Here is a 20,633-nt window from a genome sequence, read left to right as displayed (position 1 = left end):
TTGTTTGTATCCTCTTTTATTTCATTGAGCAGTGGTTTGTAGTTCTCCTTGAAGAGGTCCTTCCTGTCCCTTGTAAGTTGGATTCCTAGGTATTTTATTTTCTTTGAAGCAATTGTGAATGGGAGTTCACTCATGATTTGGCTCTCTACATCATCTTTCTTATTTCTTCTTCGTGGGGATGTATTATCTCAAGGACCCATCTCTTAACCGAGTCACTTGCTTTTCCTTAGTGCACCGTATATTTCCCAGGGTTAGCTCCTCCACGGTGGAGGGCCCTGTGAGTGACAGGTTGTCTCTGAACCATGGTGTCTCACTTCTCCCAGAACATGCTGCTAATAAAGCTGCATTCCTTCAACAGAAGCACACCAAGGCTTGTTAGGTACTGGCTGCCACAGGTGGGAGGGGACAGAGGAGTCACACAGGACAAAGTGCTACTTTGAGGTGTTGTGTGTAGATTGTGAACTGTCATAAGAGTTACACAGACAGACCGGGCTTGGTGGCTTGGTGTAATCCCAGCATTTTGGAAGGCTGAGGCAGGCAGATCACTTGAGGCCGGGAGTTTGAGACCAGCTTGGCCAACATGGTGAAAACCCATCTCTACTAAAAATACAAAAATTAGCCAGGCATGGTAGGGCACACCTGTAATCCCAGCTACTCTGTCTCAAAAAGAAATAAAAAGTTAAAAATTGAGTTACACATGCAATACTTTGGGAGTTCTGAGGAAGATGTGGTTTCTTTCATCTGAGCAAATCAGGAAGACCTAGTGGAAGAAGAGAATTGCGTCTTGACAGATTGGTAGGACTTAAATATATGGAAAAATTTTAGGAGTTTTCCTAAAATTTACCCAAACTTGGATAGCCTTTTCCCTCACATGCTAACCTGTCTTTTCTCCCTTTTTACATGACCTTAATGATGGACTTAAAAGGGCAGATCTGGGGATAAGATTAGGATGGAGGGTGAAAGGATAATTTCCTTTCATGACTGCCACTACGCTTTTTAGGGCGGGCTCTATAACCAGCACTAAACTAACAAAAGTTACCTCAAAAGAAAAAAAAAAGCAAAACAAGTTGTCTCTCCATCTGGCTTTTGAAGAGCTGGTTTCTGTGTGCTGCGTCCCCGTTGCCCATTAATCTGTAGCAATGGGGTGTTATGTTCTAGTGTGTGCTTGCCGCCTGTATGCTGCTCTCTCTGCTTGCAGTTTCCTGGTTTCACTTGCCTGGCAGCAGCTGCCGAAGGGTCCTGCTGTCATTTAACCTCATAAGTCTAATTCAGAAGAATTCTGTTCTAGTAAAATCAGAGTGCTGCCTCTGGGCTGGCTGTGTTCTCACTGCTGGCCGTCCTGTCCTGCTACTTAATGTCAGTGTAGAAAACCTCTTCAAATGAGAGAATGGCAGTGTTGCAGGAAAGCCATCATTATTCTGCAATACAAAAACTACTTCTCTGCATTCTGACAACGTCGTTTTTTAGTCACATCATATTGATCGATCCCTGAACAGATATATATCATTCCCTCCCTTTCTTTTCAGACGGAGCTAATAGATCTGTCTACAGTAGATGTGATTCTCATCTCTAACTATCACTGTATGATGGCGCTGCCATACATCACCGAGCACACCGGCTTCACAGGCACAGTGTATGCCACGGAACCCACCGTCCAGATCGGCAGGTGAGAGGGTTGATTCTGACCCTGCTAGGATGTGACTGCGGAGCTCCTCCCTCAGTGATGACGCTATCACAGTATTATACCAGGGCTGGTGGTTAGTTCCTTCTGAACAACTAACCCAAAGAACAGGCAGGAGTAAGCGACTCTCTAGATGAGGAATGTTCATTGGAAATGCCTAAGGATTGATGGTGCAAGTAGTCTTGTTGGTCTTTTTTCTTATAAATTAATTGGAAGGAGTTCATGGAGACGGCTCCTCTGTACAGAGAATACTAATTAGGGGAGGTAATGTTTAGAAAGATGCCACAAAGATGCAAGGCAGAGAGCTTCAGAGGGAAAGAGTGTAGCATCTTTAAGAAGAAGAAATTTTATTGCTTTGCTTTCAAAAATTCCCCCTTTTTGTGGTTTGTTGTAGACTATAAATGGAGACAGCTTGTAGAAAATACAGGATAGATAAGTAAATAGATGGTTAAGTTGTCTCTGCTGTTGACAGAGTGAAACTGAGCAGTCTAGGAGTAAAACTGCAGTTTTCCTTTGACTCTAAGAAGCCTCTGCCATCCCTTTCTCTGCTTCTACTAAGCCTTTGTGACACAGGTGGTTACCACAAGTAGCAATAGTATCATTTAGTGAGGAATTAGGTAAAGAAAATTACTCCAGAAAAAAAAATTTGTCAATTTATTTTTTTTGAAATAAATTAATAAGTACGGTATAAGTTGAAACTGTCAGGTTCCAAAATGTGAGACTTAAGAATTGCTATAGACTCCTAGGTTGGATTCTAGAGCCTTGCAGATGAAATAATGTGTTTTCTTGTTTTTATGTCAAACCATATTACCTGCACTGTGTATGTAACCATTAGGGAGCTGAGGAAGGGCTCTCATAGGAAAGTAAAACACTCGAAGTGATGCACTGGTTTCAATTGAGAGGATAAGCTAAAAAACTAGCCTCTAGTCTGGAAAAGTTAAAGCAGTGAGGATCAGCACACCAAACTGTTCCTATGAAAGCTACATCCAGGACACCAGTGAGCCTGAATCACAGGTCTTGAGATGTTGAAATTAGCACTCTTCCTTCAAGATGGAAGGAGGAGATGGTATTAGGCCAAAATAAATAAATGAGAATGAAATGAAGTTGTTTAGTTTTCAAATGCTAATACATTAATGGCTTACCAGTATGTATATGTTAACTTGGAGGGGATTTAAGTCAATATGGATCACGAATATTAGATTAGGAATGGAGATTCAAGGTGTCAAATCCATTTCTACCTTTGTGGTCATCCTCTGGCCATCAAGAATTCCCGCAGTTCTCTGTCCTGTGAATCCCCAAAGCCTGTGTACCTTGATCTAACTGATAGCGCAGCATTTCTTAGATTCCTCATCCCTGGTTCTGTGGTACTCCGTCTCATCTCAGAGAGAGCTAGTCTTCTGCATTTAGCAGCGTACTCCATTTGTCCTTGGAGTATTCTTCCACATGGAATTTTGCTAATTCCTAAAACATATCAAGAAAACTTATTTTATCCATTTAAAATGTTCATTTAGGCTGGCCACGGTGGCTCATGCCTGTAATCCCCCAGCACTTTGGGAGGCCGAGGCGGGTGGATCACCTGAGGTCAGGAGTTCAAGACCAGCCTGGCCAACATAGTGAAACCCCGTCTCTACTAAAAATACAAAAAATTAGCTGGGCATGGTGGTGTGTGCCTGTAATCCCAGCTACTCGAGTGGCTGAGGCAGGAGAATCCCTTGAACCCGGGAGGCGGAGATTGTAGTGAGCTGAGATTGTGCCATTGCAGTCTAGCCTGGGCAACAAGAACGAAACTCTGTCTCAAAAAAAAAAAAGTTCACTTAATATTGTCATTTAAAAAAAAACAGTCCTGCCCACACCCTACTACGTCACCAAAATTAGATACCTGACAGTCATTTAACTTCTCCCTATATATTTTCAGTAACATAAAAGTAGAGATCTTAGAGTGAGAGTTAAAACAGGCTTGTGGATTTCTATGATTAGAGACAAGAAACAGGCCAGCCTTGTTTTAAAGGTGAATTAAATTATTTAAGTTCAGAATTTTTAGCATGGAAATGCAATAAGAAAGTGAGGATTTTGTTTAACTTTATATCAAATGGTGATCAAGTTTATGTGCAGCAGAGAGGAAGATGATGATGAAATGGTGTAGGGGGAGGTGGGCAAGTCATTTCTCCTGGCCAACTGTTAGAGTATGGGGTGTTTCTCTAATTTTTTAATGGGTGTTCCTCACTTGTTTTGTTTAAACTCAGGCTTCTCATGGAAGAGCTGGTGAATTTCATTGAAAGAGTGCCAAAGGCTCAGTCTGCCTCCTTGTGGAAGAATAAGGACATTCAGAGGTGAGGAACAGACCACTCTCTTACCGAGAGACTGTAGAGCCAGGTGCTTTGCAAAGCAGTCTCATTTGATTTCTTCCTCTATGCTTAAACAATGATTTGGTTATATTAAAGATTCTCTTTTTCCTAATACATGAAAGGGTTATATTTGATTCAACCAACATTTTTTGAGAGGCAACTATGTGCAAGGTGCTATGCTGGGTACCAGAGTTTTTAGGAACAATTGGCTCTTGAGGTGGTCAAAGTTTAATGGAAAATCAGATAACTCAACAGGTCAGTTAACAGTTTGCATGGCATGTCTTAGAAGAGGTGTTTGCCAGCTAGGCGCGGTGACTCACGCCTGTAATCCCAGCACTTTGGGAGGCCGAGATGGGCAGATCACCTGAGTTTGGGAGTTTGAGACCAGCCTGACCAACATGGAGAAACCCCGTCTCTATGAAAAATGCAAAAAAATTAGCTGGGTGGTAGCACATGCCTGTAATCACAGCTACTCGGGAGGCTGAGGCAGGAGAATTGCTTGAACCCGGGAGGCAGAGGTTTCAGTGAGCTGAGATTGCACCATTGCACTCCAGCCTGGGCAACAAGAGTGAAACTCTGTCTCAAAAAAAAAAAAAAAAACAGATGTTTGCCCCCAGTGCTGTAGGCACTCAGAAACTGAAGAACTCTGCTTAGGAAGGCTGAGAAGGACATTCCTTAGGAGATGACAGTTAAGATGGGTCTTGGAAGAAGAAATGGATTTGTTCCTATAGCAGAGGTTGAGAAGAGAAGTCCAGGCATGGCGTCATGGGACATAGTATATTCAGGGAACAGTGAGATGTTCAGTGTGGATTAGGGTGAGTAGAGAGGTGAGAGGTGCAAGTAAAGGGGTGAGTTGGAGCAAGAGAATGAAGATTCTCATATGTGAAGTTTGAGTTTTATATTGTTGAGAGTGTGAAGTTGGCCAGTGGAGGTTTATAAGGAGGCTAATGACTACGTTTGTTTTGGGGAAAGTAACTCTGGAAGCAGCGTAAAGGATGGACAGGAATGCAGAGGTAGGCAGGAGGACCAGCAGTGTGACTGCTGAAACCCAGGGGAGATGACAAAGCCTTGATCTAAGGCAGTATCCGTGAGCATGAAGCTGAAGTCTAACTTCAAATGAATTTCTGAGATAGAATTGAAAAGAACTGGTAAGAGTTGTAAAAGAGGCTGTAGTAATTAAGAAGGTAAGAGGAGAGCTGAGTGGGAACCAAGGGACAAGGAAGTTTCAGAAAACACAGGTTGTTGCTGGTCTCAGATGCTGCAGAAATATCAAGTAAAATGGAGATAAGGCCCTTGGCTATGGGAATGGGGAAGTCCTTAACAATCCCGGAGAGGTGAGTTGCCGTAGAGTGCTAGGTCCAGAAACCAGGCTGAAAGAGATGAAGTAAGGAGAAACATGGTAGAAGCAGCAGCTTGATTCCACTTCCATGATCTCTTATTTAAATTGGCAACAGAGTACCCCTGTGGATATTAACACACTGGGCTTTCTCTAACCTTAGCAATTCTGCCTTCATCTCCAGGCCCCACAGCAGCCACACCTTCTGATGGTGGCGTCAAGTCTGGAGTAAAAACTAGTCTTTTGATTTCTTTTTTTTTTTCTTTTTCTTTTTCTTTTGTTTTTTTTTTGGTTTTTGTTTTTGTTTTTGTTTTTGTTTTTGAGACAGAGTCTAACTCTGTCGCCCAGGCTGGAGTGCAGTGGTGCGATCTTGGCTCACTGCAACCTCCACCTCCAGGGTTCAAGCGATTCTCGTGCCTCAGGCTCCCGAGTAGCTGGGACTGCAGGTGTGTGCAACCACACCCAGCTAATTTTTGTATTTTTAGTAGAGATGGGGTTTCACCATGTTGGCCAGGACGGTCTTGATCTCTTGACCTCACCATCCACCCACCTCGACCTCCCAAAGTGCTGGGATTACAGGTGTGAGCCACTGCACCCGGCATAGTCTTATAATTTCTTAGGCAGTTTACGTTCCATATGCTCCTACCCATGTCCACTTTTTTCCAGTTGGCACTGATTTCTCTTTCCCTCTAGATCAGTGATTTGTAGTCATCTGCTTATTTCAACATTAGAATGTCTTAGTTTTTGCAGATCTTCTTTTGATTAGAATATAAATATGTAGCTAGAGGAATACACTTTTTCTATAGTGACTATTTCGGAGCTTGAGCATGAGTCTCCTCCGTGCATTCCTTTGTACACATGTTATTTATTTTACTTATGTAACACTTGTGTGCCAGGCACCTTCTAAATGTGTTAATTTATTTATTCCTTTAATAAATAGGTAGATAGGTAGGTAGTGGTGTTACTCCTTTTTTTTTTGAGATGGAGTTTCGCTCTGTCTCCCAGGCTGGAGTGCAGTGGTGCAATTTCGGCTCACTGCAACCCCTGCCTCCCAAGGTTCAGGCAATTCTTCTGCCTCAGGCTCCCAAGTAGCTGGGACCACAGGTGAGCGCCACCATGCCCAGCTAATTTTTGTATTTTTAGTAGAGATGGGGTTTCACCATATTGGCCAGACTGGTCTTGAACTCCTGACTTCGTGATCTGCCCACCTCAGCCTCCCAAAGTGTTGGGATTACAGGCATGAGCCACCACACCCAGGCAGTGTTATTACTTTTTTACAGGAGAGAAAACTGACACAGAGAGATTAAGTAACTTGCCCAAGGTCGCACAGCTAGTGAGTGGCAGGATCTGGATTCAAACCCAGACAGCCAGCTAGCCTGGCTGCAGGGTCCATACTCCTAACCCATTTGCTGGGCCACCTCTTATGCACACACACATGCCTCTTCTCATGTGCGTGTCAGCCGCTTCTTGTGTCAGGGGACGAGGAAGTAGGCTTATCTGTGCACACTTTCTCCTGTGTTTTAAGGATCTTTTGAATGTCTGTTTCCTTGTTTGGGGATGTATGGTGTGGGCGTGGCTTCACATTAGGAAACATTTTCTGGACATGTGCATTTATAAGTCTTTGGTGTGTATGTGAATGGCCTCCTTGATCTGACTGCCCTGGTGCAGTACCACATTCTTGTTCCCAGCTCCCTTTTCTCTTGCCCTCGGTTCTGATACCTCCCTTCTTTTCTTTTCTCTCCTGTGTGCCCACTGGACTGGACAGGACCCCAGTTCCCTACATCTCCCTCTTAGAAACCTCAGGACTTTGTTTTCTTTCCCATGGAACATGTGTGCTCTGGCTTCCCTTCTTCCTCTTAAATGTAAACCCTTTATAGTGATTTGCTGCAAATAATTTTGGCACACCACAAATAGTGTTCTAAAGTCAGTATTTCTTGGCCAGGTGCAGTGGCTCAGGCCTGTAATCCCATCACTTTGGGAGGCTGATGCGGGCAGATCACTTGAGGTCAGGAGTTCAAGACCAGCCTGGCCAATATGGTGAAACCCCCCATCTCTACCAAAAATACAAAAAAAAATTAGCCAGGCGTAGTGGTGGGCACCTGTAGTTCCAGCTACTCAGAAGGCTAAGGCAGGAGAGTCGCTTGAACCTGGGAGGCAGAGGTTGCAGTGAGCTAAGATCACGCCACTGCACTCCAGCCTGGGGGACAGAGCGAGACTCTGTCTAAAAAAAAGGGCAATATTTCCTGACTCCCAAATCTTGGGTCAAGTCTTAGGAAGCCCCAAATCCTTATTTCACCTTTTCTCTTGTGACCTTGGACAAAGTCCTCAGCATTTTGCCTTTGCCTCCCATTTGGCCACACAAAAGAAGTGCCACCTACATTACGGAGAGTATGAATGAGGCTAAAGGAGGAGAAGGCTAGGGAGGGGCCTGAAAGGTATTTCCTAAGATGCAGAGGAAAGCTCCCTTTTTAAAAAAAATTTAAGTTCTGGGATAGGTGTGTGGGACATGCAGTTTTGTTACATAGGTAAACATGTGCCATGGTGGTTTGCTGCACCTATCAACCCTTCACCTAGGTGTTAAGCCCCATATGCATTAGCTGTTTATCTCAATGCTCCCCCTTCCCCCGCACACTCCCTGAGAGGCCCCAGTGTGTGTTGTTCCCCTGCCTGTGTTCATGTGTTCTCGTTCAGCTCCCACTTAAAAGTGAGAACACGCGGTGTTTGGTTTTCTGTTCCTATGTTAGTTTGCTGAGGATAATGGCTTCAGCTCCATCTATGTCCCTACAACAGACATGATCTCATTCCTTTTTATGGCTGCATAGTATTCCATGGTGTATAGGTACCACATTTTTTTAATCCAGTCTGTCATTGATGGGCATTTTGGTTGAGTCCATATCTTTGCTATTGTGAATAGGGCTGCAATGAACATACACTTGCATGTATCTTTATAATAGAATGGAAATCTCCCTTTTAAAAGAAGCTGCTAGTTGAAATATATTTGCCCACCTGGTGGGCAAAAATCAGAAACTGTTGAGACTAACTTGGTAGAGGAGCAAGGAGAGTAGTAACTTGCGCTATTGGAGAAGGCCATCTTTGATTCTCATCCTGGCCAATGATTGTGTTTTGATTTTTGAGCATGAGATGAGCCATAGTTATTGGTAGAGAAAGGGAAGAGTCTAATTATTGGAAAACATACTGAGGTGTGAAAGAGACACTCCATAGCTGTGTCCTCTTTTTCTCCTAGATAAACTCAGCATAAATACTAGAAGTGGTAGAAGAATTTGAAGAGCTTTTTTTTTTTTTTTTTTAATTTTTTGAGACAGGGTCTCACTCTGTCACCCAGGCTGCAGTACAGTGATGCGATGTCAGCTCACTGCAGCCTTCACCTCCCGGGGTTCAAGCGATTCTCCCGTATCAACCTGCTGAGTAGCTGGGACTAGAGATGCCCACCACCATGCCCGCTAATTTTTGTATTTTTTGGGTTTCACCTTGTTGGCCAGGTTGGTCTCAAACTCCTGACCTCAAGTGATCCGCCCACCTCAGCCTCCCAAAGTGCTGGGATTATAGGCATGAGCCACCATGCCTGGCCTGAAGAGCTATTTATTCTTTAATTGGCATCAAATGAAAGAGTTCTTTTAAAATATTCACCTAGAATTTAATCTTGGACCAGAGTTCTAAAAGTGCTGCATTTGGGTAATGTTTGTGCTAAGGGATTTACATCACCTTTAGATTTATCTCTATCACAAGCTAGTTAATATCTAATGTCCCAAACTACTGCAGCATGCTACATTGACAAACGCTGCTTTTTGCTATCTAGTTCACGGAAATTTTTCCCATTATATAGCCTCTATCTGTCTTCTCTGTATGTTTTCACTCTTTTTTTTTTTTCTTCATTCTTGTGCTTTGCCTGTCCAGGTCTTCCAAAGTAGGGATCACAGGTCTACAATGCCTACAGGGCTGGGGAAGGTACACACAGGAGTGAGATGGGCTGGTGGAAAATGTGGACCGGTGACCACACCTCTGTATAGGGGCAGCTGACTCGTAGCTCCAGCGATCGTGGCCATATGGGAATGTGAGCCCACAGCTGCCAAGCCTTCCTTAGAAGCTCAAAGTCTAGATGTTGTAAATGTGACTTTTAAAAAATCTTTTTAGAAATGTTGGCTTCTACATTAGAATCAAATCCCGTATGATCTGAGCAAAGTAGCTCTTAGAGAGGTACTTTGAGAGGTATTCGATTTGAGGCTTGAGCCCCTAATTTTTGAATTATACTATATATAGGCAGCCTCAAAGCAGATCTTGTCAAGTGCCTAGAATTAATACATCTTAGTAGCTTACATTACTAATAAAACTATCAACTAAAGAAAACAGTAAATTAGAAACTTTCAAACTCAGAAGAATCTGACAAATTCTCATAAATCATTTGAAGTTAGCTTGAATTAGCATTTGATTTATTATTAGTACACGTACCAAAAAAAAACTATTACTCCTACTTTTTGGCAGCTGTGTAACTTCCTGCCTCAGTTGACAGTGCTCCTTGAGATTTATATCAAAGAAGTTAAGTCATCCTTCTTCCTAACTTTGACATTGCAGTTTACTCTTGAAAAAGAGATGGATTTTGAAGGGAAGGAAAAGGAGAATCCCTCACAATGTAATTCTGGGTCTCTGACTTTCCCACACTCACTTAAGTTTAGGTTTTTAATGGGAAAATGTAAAGCAAGATATTCCACTTAAGAAAGTAACCCCACCTCTAGTACTTTTTTTGTATAAAACTAATATTTTTTATAAGGTTAGAAATCTATAATTACAATAAGGATAAATCATTACAAGATATTGTCATCCTCATGCAAGCATTAAGCAATGAAGCATTGATATAGTCTTGGCTGAATTTTTATGGCACTTTTTAATACTTACAACTTAAAATGTGGCTTCATACCTTACGGAAGACTTAAAAGAAAACTGGCTGGGCGTGGTGGCTCATGCCTATAATCTCAGCACTTTGGGGGGCCAAGGCTGGTGGATCACCTGAGGTCAGGAGTTCAAGACCAGTGTGACCAATATGGTGAAACCCCGTCTCTACTAAAAATACAAAATTAGTCATACCTATAATCCCAGCTACGTGGGAGCTGAGGCAGGAGAATCGCTTGAACCTGGGAGGTGGAAGTTGCGGTGAGCCGAGATCGTGCCATTGCACTCCAGTCTGGGCAACAAGAGCAAAACTCCATCTCAAAAAAAAAAAAAGACTTAAAACCATGCATGTTCAAGTTGAAGTTCCTCCGCTCTGACGCTCCTTGGGTATGCATACAGGAATTTATCAACTAACTCTATGATAGGAAGAGAAGATAGAAGTGTGTGCTCGGAGGTCAAATAGACTGGTATTTGAATTTCAGATCTGTTTCTTGGTAGTTGTGGCAACTTATTTCTTCTAGGCTCTGTTTCCTCCTTCATAAAATAGAAGTGATATTAACAACTTAATAGGATTGTTGTAAGGACTAAATGAGTGGTATGATTAAGTTCTTAAAACAATGCCAGTCACACAGTAGGTGCTCAATAAATGCCAGTGTCCTTGTCTCTTTTAATAAGATACGTGGCTTACATAATCTGCTTTTGTTAACTAGAATACATCTGTCTTCTGCAGCCTAATTTACTTTCAGACACTGCCTTTCTGACGAAAGCAAGGTAGCTAAGTGGACAGAAGGAAAACTGTTTTCAAATTCCACTGTTACCTGTAGTTAGTTGTCACTGTCACTCAGACTCTCAGACTCAATCTCCTTTTCTGTAAAATAAGAATTAAATTATCTCTAAGTCCACTTGTGTTAGAGTTCTAAAAGATGTCCAGAGAGAGGCTCCTTAAGGCAGGCCCTCAGAGAGCGGCAGTGCTTTGACGGAGTAATCACAGCTGGTTGGGCTTTGCGATTCTGGTCACTTCACCGTTTCATTTCACTCGGAGTTGATTAGCCTCTGAGGGACTGATTCATGCTCACCAGACTCCCAGGATGTTGAGTGACAAACAAAAATCCCAATTAATCACTTTAAAGTAAGACCTCTGAGTGGCTCCAGAACTAGAGTGGCTTCTCTATCCAGGACACTCTATGCTGGCCAGGAAGTCCACTTAAGACCTCAAATTATGGATAAGAAATTTTTCCATGAGCATAGGATTAGAGCAAAGATAGTTGAGTTGCTCTCAAGAGTCGTTCCTGTCATGCTTTGGTAGCCTAAGCAATTGCCATTTTTTTAAGCAATAATTTGATCTAAAATAAACATCAGGGGTTGTAACCTAGTTTCTGGTTAATATTGAAACATACTTCATTTTGAGGCTCCAGAAACTCCATATGTGTCCTTATTCTGCCAACATGCCCAGTCTACCCTAGCCCCCACAGGCATGTTAAGCCCTTTGCTGTGATGAGAGTCAGGCAGGGAACTTTCCTGATTCCTATCTTCTTTGTATTCTGTCCTTACATTAATTTTGTTCATTCACTTATTCATTCATTTATTCATTCAACATACACTTAATGCCCAGCCAGTTTTTTACTTACCACCTTCCAAGTGGTCCTTCTGGACTTAAAAGTTTTAATATTTAATAAAAACACAAAAGTGTGCTGCTTTTGCTGGCAGGATGAAGGAAGAGGCCGCAGAGCTTTGGCATCATGTCAGAGCCCTGGGAAAGAAGTTCTTCAGGCACTCAAGTGTGGTAAGAACAAAGCAAAACAATGAAATCCTTTAGAAAGTACTTATGAAACATTTAGACTCTGAGAACTTGACTTTGATAAATTAGAAAGCCAGAAAAAACAGAACTAGTTCCCTCTGGGTTTCCTTATCCTTCTTATCCAAAATCAGCCAATAATCCTAATGGCTTTAAATGGCTCTATAAATGCCTCTCTGTAATTAGGACCTCAAGTAAGCATAAGGAGAGTTTCTGGGAAAGCTAAGTTAGACAAGATGTGTTAGGAGATAGAGGAAGCACAACAAAGTAACTAAATATCTAGAAAGAATAAAAGAGGATGTCAGCAAAAGGACTTTGTGGGCAGAAATATGAAATTCAGAGAACTTCACTTACTTGTTGAGTAACTACCAAATGCCTGGTATTCTAAGTTTGTAGAAAAATGCCCAAAAAAGTTTAAGATTTAGTCGCTCTACTCAAGGAGCTTGTCAAGCAAAAAAATAGATGCCAAATGGCAAGACTTAGGCTGGGCTAGGCAGATTGAGTAGGGTTTGAATGAGGAAAAAGAGACCATTCCAAGCAGGCAAGAAAGCGAGCAAGATAGAAGTCCTAGTCTTTTGTAACCTAATCACTGAAGTGACAGCCCATCATCATCTTTGTCATGTTAGCAGCAAGCCACTTGATCTACCTCACACTCAGGAGGAGAGGATTCCACAAGGGGGTGAATCCTGTGGGTAGGGGTCACTTGGAGCCATGGCAGAAGCGCCTGCCACAAAACCCTGAACCGGGCAGGTCAGACTGGACCAGAGGCAGTGGGACGGCTTGGCTTTCCTCCTCCGGGTTACCCCTGAGCTCCTCCTTGATTTTTTTCACCACCTCTCACAGTTAGAGGGCTCACCTCTACCCAAACATGGTGCAGTTCAGACGGGACACGTTGATAATTGCATTGCTGGTTCTTTTTTTTCCTGGGATAGCAACTGAACTTTTTTTCTTTTGAGTGTCATTTATATTGGGCACTATGCTCAGTGCTGAGGAGACAAAAATGAAAAAAGTGTTGCTGTGTGAATCATATGATACAATAGGAAAAAAGATACACATTACTCTTTTCAGTGGGTATTAATAAAATACAAAACAAAAGGCATATTTAACAAGACTGTTCTTCTAAATACAGTGTTCTATGTATCTGATTAGCAAAAATCATCTGTAGTGAAAATTTCTGTATAAACAAATGCTTTCTTCTGTCAGCTACTAGTAGCTGTATGTTTAATGCTCACTACTGGCCCATGCATACTGATGTTTCTGTCATCATTCTGATTGTAGAACGTAAGTTTATGATTTCCATGCCATTTACTTTAAAAGGAAAGATGGGAAAGATTCAGGCTGAAATATACCTGGATCTTCAGGAGCCTTTTGTTTTGCTTAAGTAAATTGTGTCCCTACTTGAAACACCAGTAATTTCTCTAGAAATAAGTTCTGGGTTATTGAGGACAAAAGTTGTAGATGCTTTGCATCTTCATGCTTTCCACTTTCCCTTCTAAGGGCTTGGTCAGAACGCTGCTAGTACTCAATAGGGTGAATATAAGACTGTTTCATCTCCAGCACACAGTGAAAATATTAAAGTGACCAAAGCCTCTTTTTGAGCAAGGCTGTTCCAGTTCTTAATCTTGCTGAATTTTCACAGGACGTTGTCCTAGATGGAAAGGGGAGGCTGTGCTGGGAAGGGCCATCAAGAGAAGACAGAGCTAGCAGGAAGGAAAGCCCACGTGGTATGGTGTTCTGGGTAATGGCAGTACTGGTTGTCAAATAATGGGTAAGGAAAATCGCAGAAAGAAAGCAGGTATAGTTCTGGCCTTGTGTGTGACTTTCTAGTCAGCCTTTAAAAGAAATGACTGTTGCAGGGCCCTGGCAAAGCTGGGGACAATGTGAAAGAAATTCAGCTGAATGGAGAGATGTGCTTGGGGTTGCAAGTGTTATTCATCATTATCCATCACGGTCCCTGCTCTCTAGCCACTCCCATGACAGCCTTCCAGCTCTGGCATTATTAAGTCAAGAAACTCCTTGGCTCCTACCGGGCCCAGAGTGAGAGGTCTTCATTTTCTGTGCAGGGCAGCCCCAGGAGGTTCAAGCCCCAGGGCTGCCTGATCCTGAGAACTTAAAGGAGGAGTCAAAGCTAGGTAGAACCTTGGGTTTTTCCTTGAGTCCTGTCAAGTTCAGAATCGTTGCTGCTCGTCAGAGTCAATCACCCTGGGGTGGAGTCCACTGCAGTATTGTAGGGAAATGCATGTGCTTCTGGGGCTGTGTTGGAGCAGGGCTGGAGACAAACCTTGACTCAGCATCTCTTCTGCACCAGACATTTCACATGCATTATATTATATATCATTTCCCCATTGCAGAGAAACTCTCAAAGGAAGGTAGTATTCTCTCCATTTTATAGATGAGGAAACTGAGGCTTGGAGGTGAAGAGCTAACTCCCAGATGTAAACCTAGACTTCTCTGGTTGTAAATTCTCTTTTTTCCATTATTTCCTAGTGCCTCTGAGAGAAATCTCTCCTTCCTCAAAGCAGGCAGTCGTGAGTTATGGGGATGTGGAGGTAACAGATGCAGGAGCAGCAGCCCCTGCGGCGGCCTCAGTCCAAAGTGGGCTTCTGTGCCACTTCCCTGTACTCCTGCCAGACTCAGGGCCAGCCAGCCTTCCCAAAGAGCACGTGAGTGAGCACCTGGCCTAGACTGGGGTCACAAGATCTGAGAGAAAGTGACAAGTGTGTTTAGGTTTTAAGCAAGAGCAAGTAAGTGTTGTCCACTCAAAATGTAGAAGACAGAGGGACTTAGGTAGGTGGGGTGCAGGCAGGCAGGGCCTTGCACTAGAAAAGCCCAGTATAGACAGTACAGGCAGAAGCAGCACCCAGATAAAGAAGGGCCTTAGGAAGTCATGCTGAGAGCCTTGGATTTTATCCTCAATGTATTGGTGAATCATTAAAGTTGGGGGAAGGAGGAGAGGAGGTGTGCATAAGATCTTGAGATTTGCATTTGTAGTGTATTGTTGAGGCCCTTCTGGGAGGGAAGGCCAGCCTGTAGGCAAGGATGACTCGAGGCTTTTGGCATCCTGTTGCCCTGTACTATTAAATTTTTCTTAGACTTAAGCACAGTGTGAACAGAAGCCCTATATTATGCGTGTCATTCCCCTTATGTGACTTAAGTCCTGAGACCACAGTCAGTGCTCAGTAAATATGTATAGAATAAATATTGCAAAACCTAAAGCAGTTCACTATGTGTACCTAAGAAAGTGAATAAGAAAATCTTCATGTATCTGTTTATGTAGAAGGTAATGAAAATGGATCATTGATATTTTGTTGCTAAAGAAACAAGGGTAAAAAGCATAGGAACGATTTGACATATGTGCTACTCTGGTTAAATCTTAATTCAGTGTTTCCATTATTATGGCTGTATAAATGCAATTCACCGGCCATATAAGATTATTAGGATTATTTTTTCTATCTTGTGCAACTTTTTGTTTTCCCTTGAGTTAATTACCTTGTTTTCTTATTTGTCTAGTTGTTTTATGTACCTATTGTCTCTATACTCTTTCCCTACTTGTCTCTCCTCAATATGTTTGTAAGTAATTAAATTTCTCCTCTACCCTCTTAGGGTGTCCAGTTGTGCCTAAGAATTAAACTGACATAAAACAGGTTAACAGAAGAAAGGTACACACATTTTATTAAGTTACATATATGTAAGAGTCTGCACAGGAGAATGAAGACCCAAAGGAACAGTTAGAGTTGAACACAGACACCGAGTTGGACAAAGAGCAGGACATTGGGAAAGTGTGACAAGGGAAGGGGACTTGGGCTAGGGCAGTCAATTGGGTGGAGAAGTGACTGGGAAGATCAGGGTTTAACAAGGTTTGCTGGTACAGGTTTTTCTCGAACTCCATTCCCTTTCCCTACAGATAAAAATGTTACTTTCCTCCTGCTATATGGAGGACATCTTCCATATGGGGATGTCATCTCCTTTCAGGAAGAAAAAGAGGAGGGCAGAGAGCTCTTCCTGCACCTGCTGTTTTTCAGGTGCCTTTACCTCAAAATAACCTTTATGCTGAAGTGGCATATTGTAGGGTGGCATATCCTGCCACCCATCATGTTCAGTCTCCATAGGTATTCTGACAACTTTTATCTCCTTGAAAAGTCCTCTCCCCAGCCTTCTCTCTCTGATGTCAGCTGTCTTGGGCCCAATGCCATGGCTTTCAGCTGAGGATTTTCCTCACCATTATCCCGAAGACTTCTTTGCTTCTTTATTCTGTTTTCTGGATCTTCCTTTTTCTTGTTTACTCCTTCATTTTTCAGGCCACATCCTCCAGTAACTCCCTGCCAAAGAGTGTGTGGGAAGTAAATTTTCCCACACAAAGAGTGTGTGGGAAGTGTGTGGGGTGGGCAGTAGATCTGCACATCTAAAACTATTTGGTAGAAATAACCCTCAAACTATTTGATAGAAATCTACATTAGATACAATTTTCTCTTACAATATTGAAAACATTATATTTCCTTCTAGCTTCCAGGAGTGCTGTTGAAATGTCCAATGCTATTTTGAACCTAGATCTTTAGTTTGTACCTCTTGATTCCCATATGATAGCTTTTAGAATCTTGTCTTTATTCCTTGAGTTCATGATGATGGTTCTTACTGAAGCCGTTTCATTCATGTGCTGAGTACTTAGTGGGCCCTTTCAATTTAGAACAGGAGTGGCAACTAAGGCCAGCACTGTTTTTGGGCCAGATCTGGCCCACCACTGTTTTTATAAAGTTTTATCAGAACACAGCCACACTTGTTTACATATTGTGTATGCTATTACACGGCTAAGTTGAATAGTTGTGGTGGAGACTATATGTGATCTGCAAAGCTTAAAATATCTGCAGCCACTTATGGAAAAGGTTTGCCAATTCCCAATTTAGAAAATGAAGAATTTTGATTCTGGTTTAAAAAAAAAAGTTTTCTACCCCCATTTTCTGTGTTCTTTCTGCAACTCTTGCTATTAGATGCTGAACCTCTTAGATTGTCATTTAAATATTTTTCTCTTCTCTTTTCCATCTCTGTTTTTCTTTTTGTTTGTTCTTCCGCAAAATTCCCTTTATTTCCCAAGCTTTCTATCAGTGTTTCATTCCTGCTGTAATATTTTTTTGACATCAATTCTTCTGATTTTTAAATTAACCTTTTTATTGTAATATAAAGCACAGATATCAGTCATGCCCATAATCCCAGCACTTTGGGAGGCCACGGCGGGCAGATCGCTTGAGTCCAGGAGTTTGAGACCGGCATGGGCAACGTGGCAAAATCCCATCTCTACAAAAAATAAACTGAGCCGGGCATGGTGGCACGCATCTGTAGTCCCAGCTACTTTGGAAGCTGAGGCAGGAGGATCGCTTGAGCTCAGGAGGTTGAGGCTGCAGTGAGCTGTGATTATGCCACTGCACTCCAGCCTAGGTGACAGAGCAAGACCTTGTCTAAAAACAACAGCAGCGAAAAAAAAAAAAACCCACAGATATCAAAACACACAAAACTAATATATTGCTTAATAAATTATTATAAAGCAACCACTCTTAAAGCCACACCCCTGGTCAAGGAAGAGAACATTCCCAGCAACTCAAAAGCTCCAGTCCAATCACAGCCCCCTCTGAAATACTGCATGGTTTCAACCCACTGGGTGGTGGTGGTGGTTTCAGCTGGAATTGTCCCATCTTTGAACACTGAAAGCCTTGTCAGGTGTTTATATGGTTTGCCTGCGTCCCCACCCAAATCTCAACTTGAATTGTATCTCCCAGAATTCCCACATGTTGTGGGAGGGACCCAGGGGGAGATAATGGAATCATGGGGACCAGTTTTTCCTGTGCTAGTCTCATGATAGTGAATAAGTCTCACAAGATCTGATGGGTTTATCGGGGCTTCCGCTTTTGCTTCTTCCTCATTTTCTCTTGCCACCGCCATGTAAGAAGTATCTTTCACCTCCCACCATGATTCTGAGGCCTCCCCAGCCATGTGGAACTGTAAGTCCAATTAAACCTATTTTTCTTCCCAGTCTCAGTATGTCTTTATCAGCAGTGTGAAAACGGACTAATTGTCCTCTGGGTCGTTTATTGTGACCCTCATAGTCTTTGATTGTTTCCTTGCCATCTGTGATAGCAGGATGTTTAAGATTCCTCATGTACATTCTCTGCCCTAAATTGCCCATTTCTCCAAGAAACCCTGGTTTCTGCAATGGGAAGTGGAATTTTAAGATCCCATTTTGGTTGTTAGTAATGCTCATTGCTACTAAATTAGTCATTGTTTCTAGTACTCTTTGGAGAACAGAGCATACATATTTCCCCCCACTTTTTTTTTACACTTTTACCTTATCTGTGTTGTCAGAATATATATGCATTACATACTATCCTCCCTTCCTTTTAACCTGCATGTAGTCTGTCAGCTACTAGTAACTGTATATTTAATGCTCACTACTGGCCCATGCATACTGATGTTTCTGTCATCATTCTGATTGTCTGAAACTCAGTCTTCAGTAGATTTCTCAGGATGGGATCACAAGAACAATATTCCCTGAGTTCCTGCATGTTCATAATTGTTTATCTGTGATCTTTGGCCTTGAAAGTCACTTTTGCAAAGCTACTCCTCGAGAAGAGCAACTCCAAGACACGTAATTGTCAGATTCACCAAAGTTCAAATGAAGGAAAAAATGTTAAGGGCAGCCAAAGAGAAAGGTTGGGTTATCCACAAAGGGAAGCCCATCAGACTAACAGCTGATCTCTCAGCAGAAACTCTACAAGCCAGAAGAGAGTGGGGGCCAATATTCAACATTCTTAAAGAAAAGAATTTTCAACCCAGAATTTCATATCCAGCCAAACTAAGCTTCATAAGTGTACAGACAAGCAAATGCTGAGAGATTTTGTCACCACCAGGCCTGCCCTAAAAGAGCTCCTGAAGGAAGCACTAAACATGGAAAGGAACAACTGGTACCAGCCACTGCAAAATCATGCCAAATTGTAAAGACCATCAAGGCTAGGAAGAAACTGCATCAACTAACGAGCAAAATAACCAGCTAACATCATAATGACAGGATCAAATTCACATATAACAATATTAACTTTAAATGTAAATGGACTAAATGCTCCAATTAAAAGACACAGACTGGCAAATTGGATAAAGAGTCAAGACCCATCAGTGTGCTGTATTCAGGAAACCCATCTTACGTGCAGAGACACACATAGGCTCAAAATAAAAGGATGGAGGAAGATCTACCAAGCAAATGGAAAACAAAAAAAGGCAGGGGTTGCAATCCTTGTCTCTGATAAAACAGACTTTAAACCAACAAAGATCAAAAGAGACAAAGAAGGCCATTACATAATGGTAAAGGGATCAATTCAACAAGAAGAACTAACTATCCTAAATATATATGCACCCAAACAGGAGCACCCAGATTCATAAAGCAAGTCCTGAGTGACCTACAAAGAGACTTAGACTCCCACACAATAATAATGGGAGACTTTAACACCCCACTGTCAACATTAGACAGATCAACGAGACAGAAAGTTAATAAGGATACCCAGGAATTGAACTCAGCTCTGCACCAAGCAGACCTAATAGACATCTACAGAACTCTCCACCCCAAATCAACAGAATATACAATTTTTTCAGCACCACACCACACCTATTCGAAAATTGACCACATACTTGGAAGTAAAGCTCTCCTCAGCAAATGTAAAAGATCAGAAATTATAACAAACTGTCTCTCAGACAACAGTGCAATCAAACTAGAACTCAGGATTAAGAAACTCACTCAAAACCGCTCAACTACATGGAAACTGAACAACCTGCTCCTGAATGACTACTGGGTACATAATGAAATGAAGGCAGAAATAAAGATGTTCTTTGAAACCAACAAGAACAAAGACACAACATACCAGAATCTCTGGGACACATTCAAAGCAGTGTGTAGAGGGAAATTTATAGCACTAAATGCCCACAAGAGAAAGCAGGAAGGATCCAAAATTGACACCCTAACATCACAATTAAAAGAACTAGAAAAGCAAGAGCAAACACATTCAAAAGCTAGCAGAAGGCAAGAAATAACTGAAATCAGAGCAGAACTGAAGGAAATAGAGACACAAAAAACCCTTCCAAAAATTAGTGAATCCAAGAGCTGGTTTTTTGAAAGGATCAACAAAATTGATAGACTGCTAGCAAGACTAATAAAGAAGAAAAGAGAGAAGAATCAAATAGACACAATAAAAAATGATAAAGGGGATATCACCACCGATCCCACAGAAATACAAACTACCATCAGAGAATACTACAAAAACCTCTACGCAAATAAACTAGAAAATCTAGAAGAAATGGATAAATTCCTCGACACATACACCCTCCCAAGACTAAACCAGGAAGAAGTTGAATCTCTGAATAGACCAATAACAGGCTCTGAAATTGTGGCAATAATCAATAGCTTACCAACCAAAAAGAGTCCAGGACCAGATGGATTCACAGCCGAATTCTACCAGAGGTACAAGGCGGAACTGGTACCATTCCTTCTGAAACTATTCCAATCAATAGAAAAAGAGGGAATCCTCCCTAACTCAT

The 20,633-nt window shown here is 42.0% G+C and overlaps 1 protein-coding gene across 15 annotated transcripts in view; it reads left to right on the top strand.

Annotated features, from left to right (window-relative positions):
* The window catches only part of INTS9 (integrator complex subunit 9), a 122,309-nt gene that overhangs the window by 50,667 nt on the left and 51,009 nt on the right, over positions 1–20,633 (top strand). For all 15 annotated transcript variants that reach the window (NR_026826.3, XM_047421958.1, XM_047421956.1 and 12 more), the window contains 2 exons: positions 1,527–1,666; positions 3,925–4,011. Coding sequence is in view for 14 of the 15 variants with exons in the window: in XM_047421958.1 (XP_047277914.1) it covers positions 1,527–1,666; positions 3,925–4,011 (227 nt within the window). In the remaining variant the exon portion in view is untranslated. The remainder of the gene's footprint in view (positions 1–1,526; positions 1,667–3,924; positions 4,012–20,633) is intronic.

Source organism: Homo sapiens, chromosome 8 (assembly GCF_000001405.40).
Source record: "Homo sapiens chromosome 8, GRCh38.p14 Primary Assembly".
Lineage (NCBI taxonomy): Eukaryota > Metazoa > Chordata > Mammalia > Primates > Hominidae > Homo > Homo sapiens.
The sequence above is the reverse complement of the archived record's forward strand: the minus strand, read 5'-3'. Positions and strand labels throughout refer to the sequence as shown.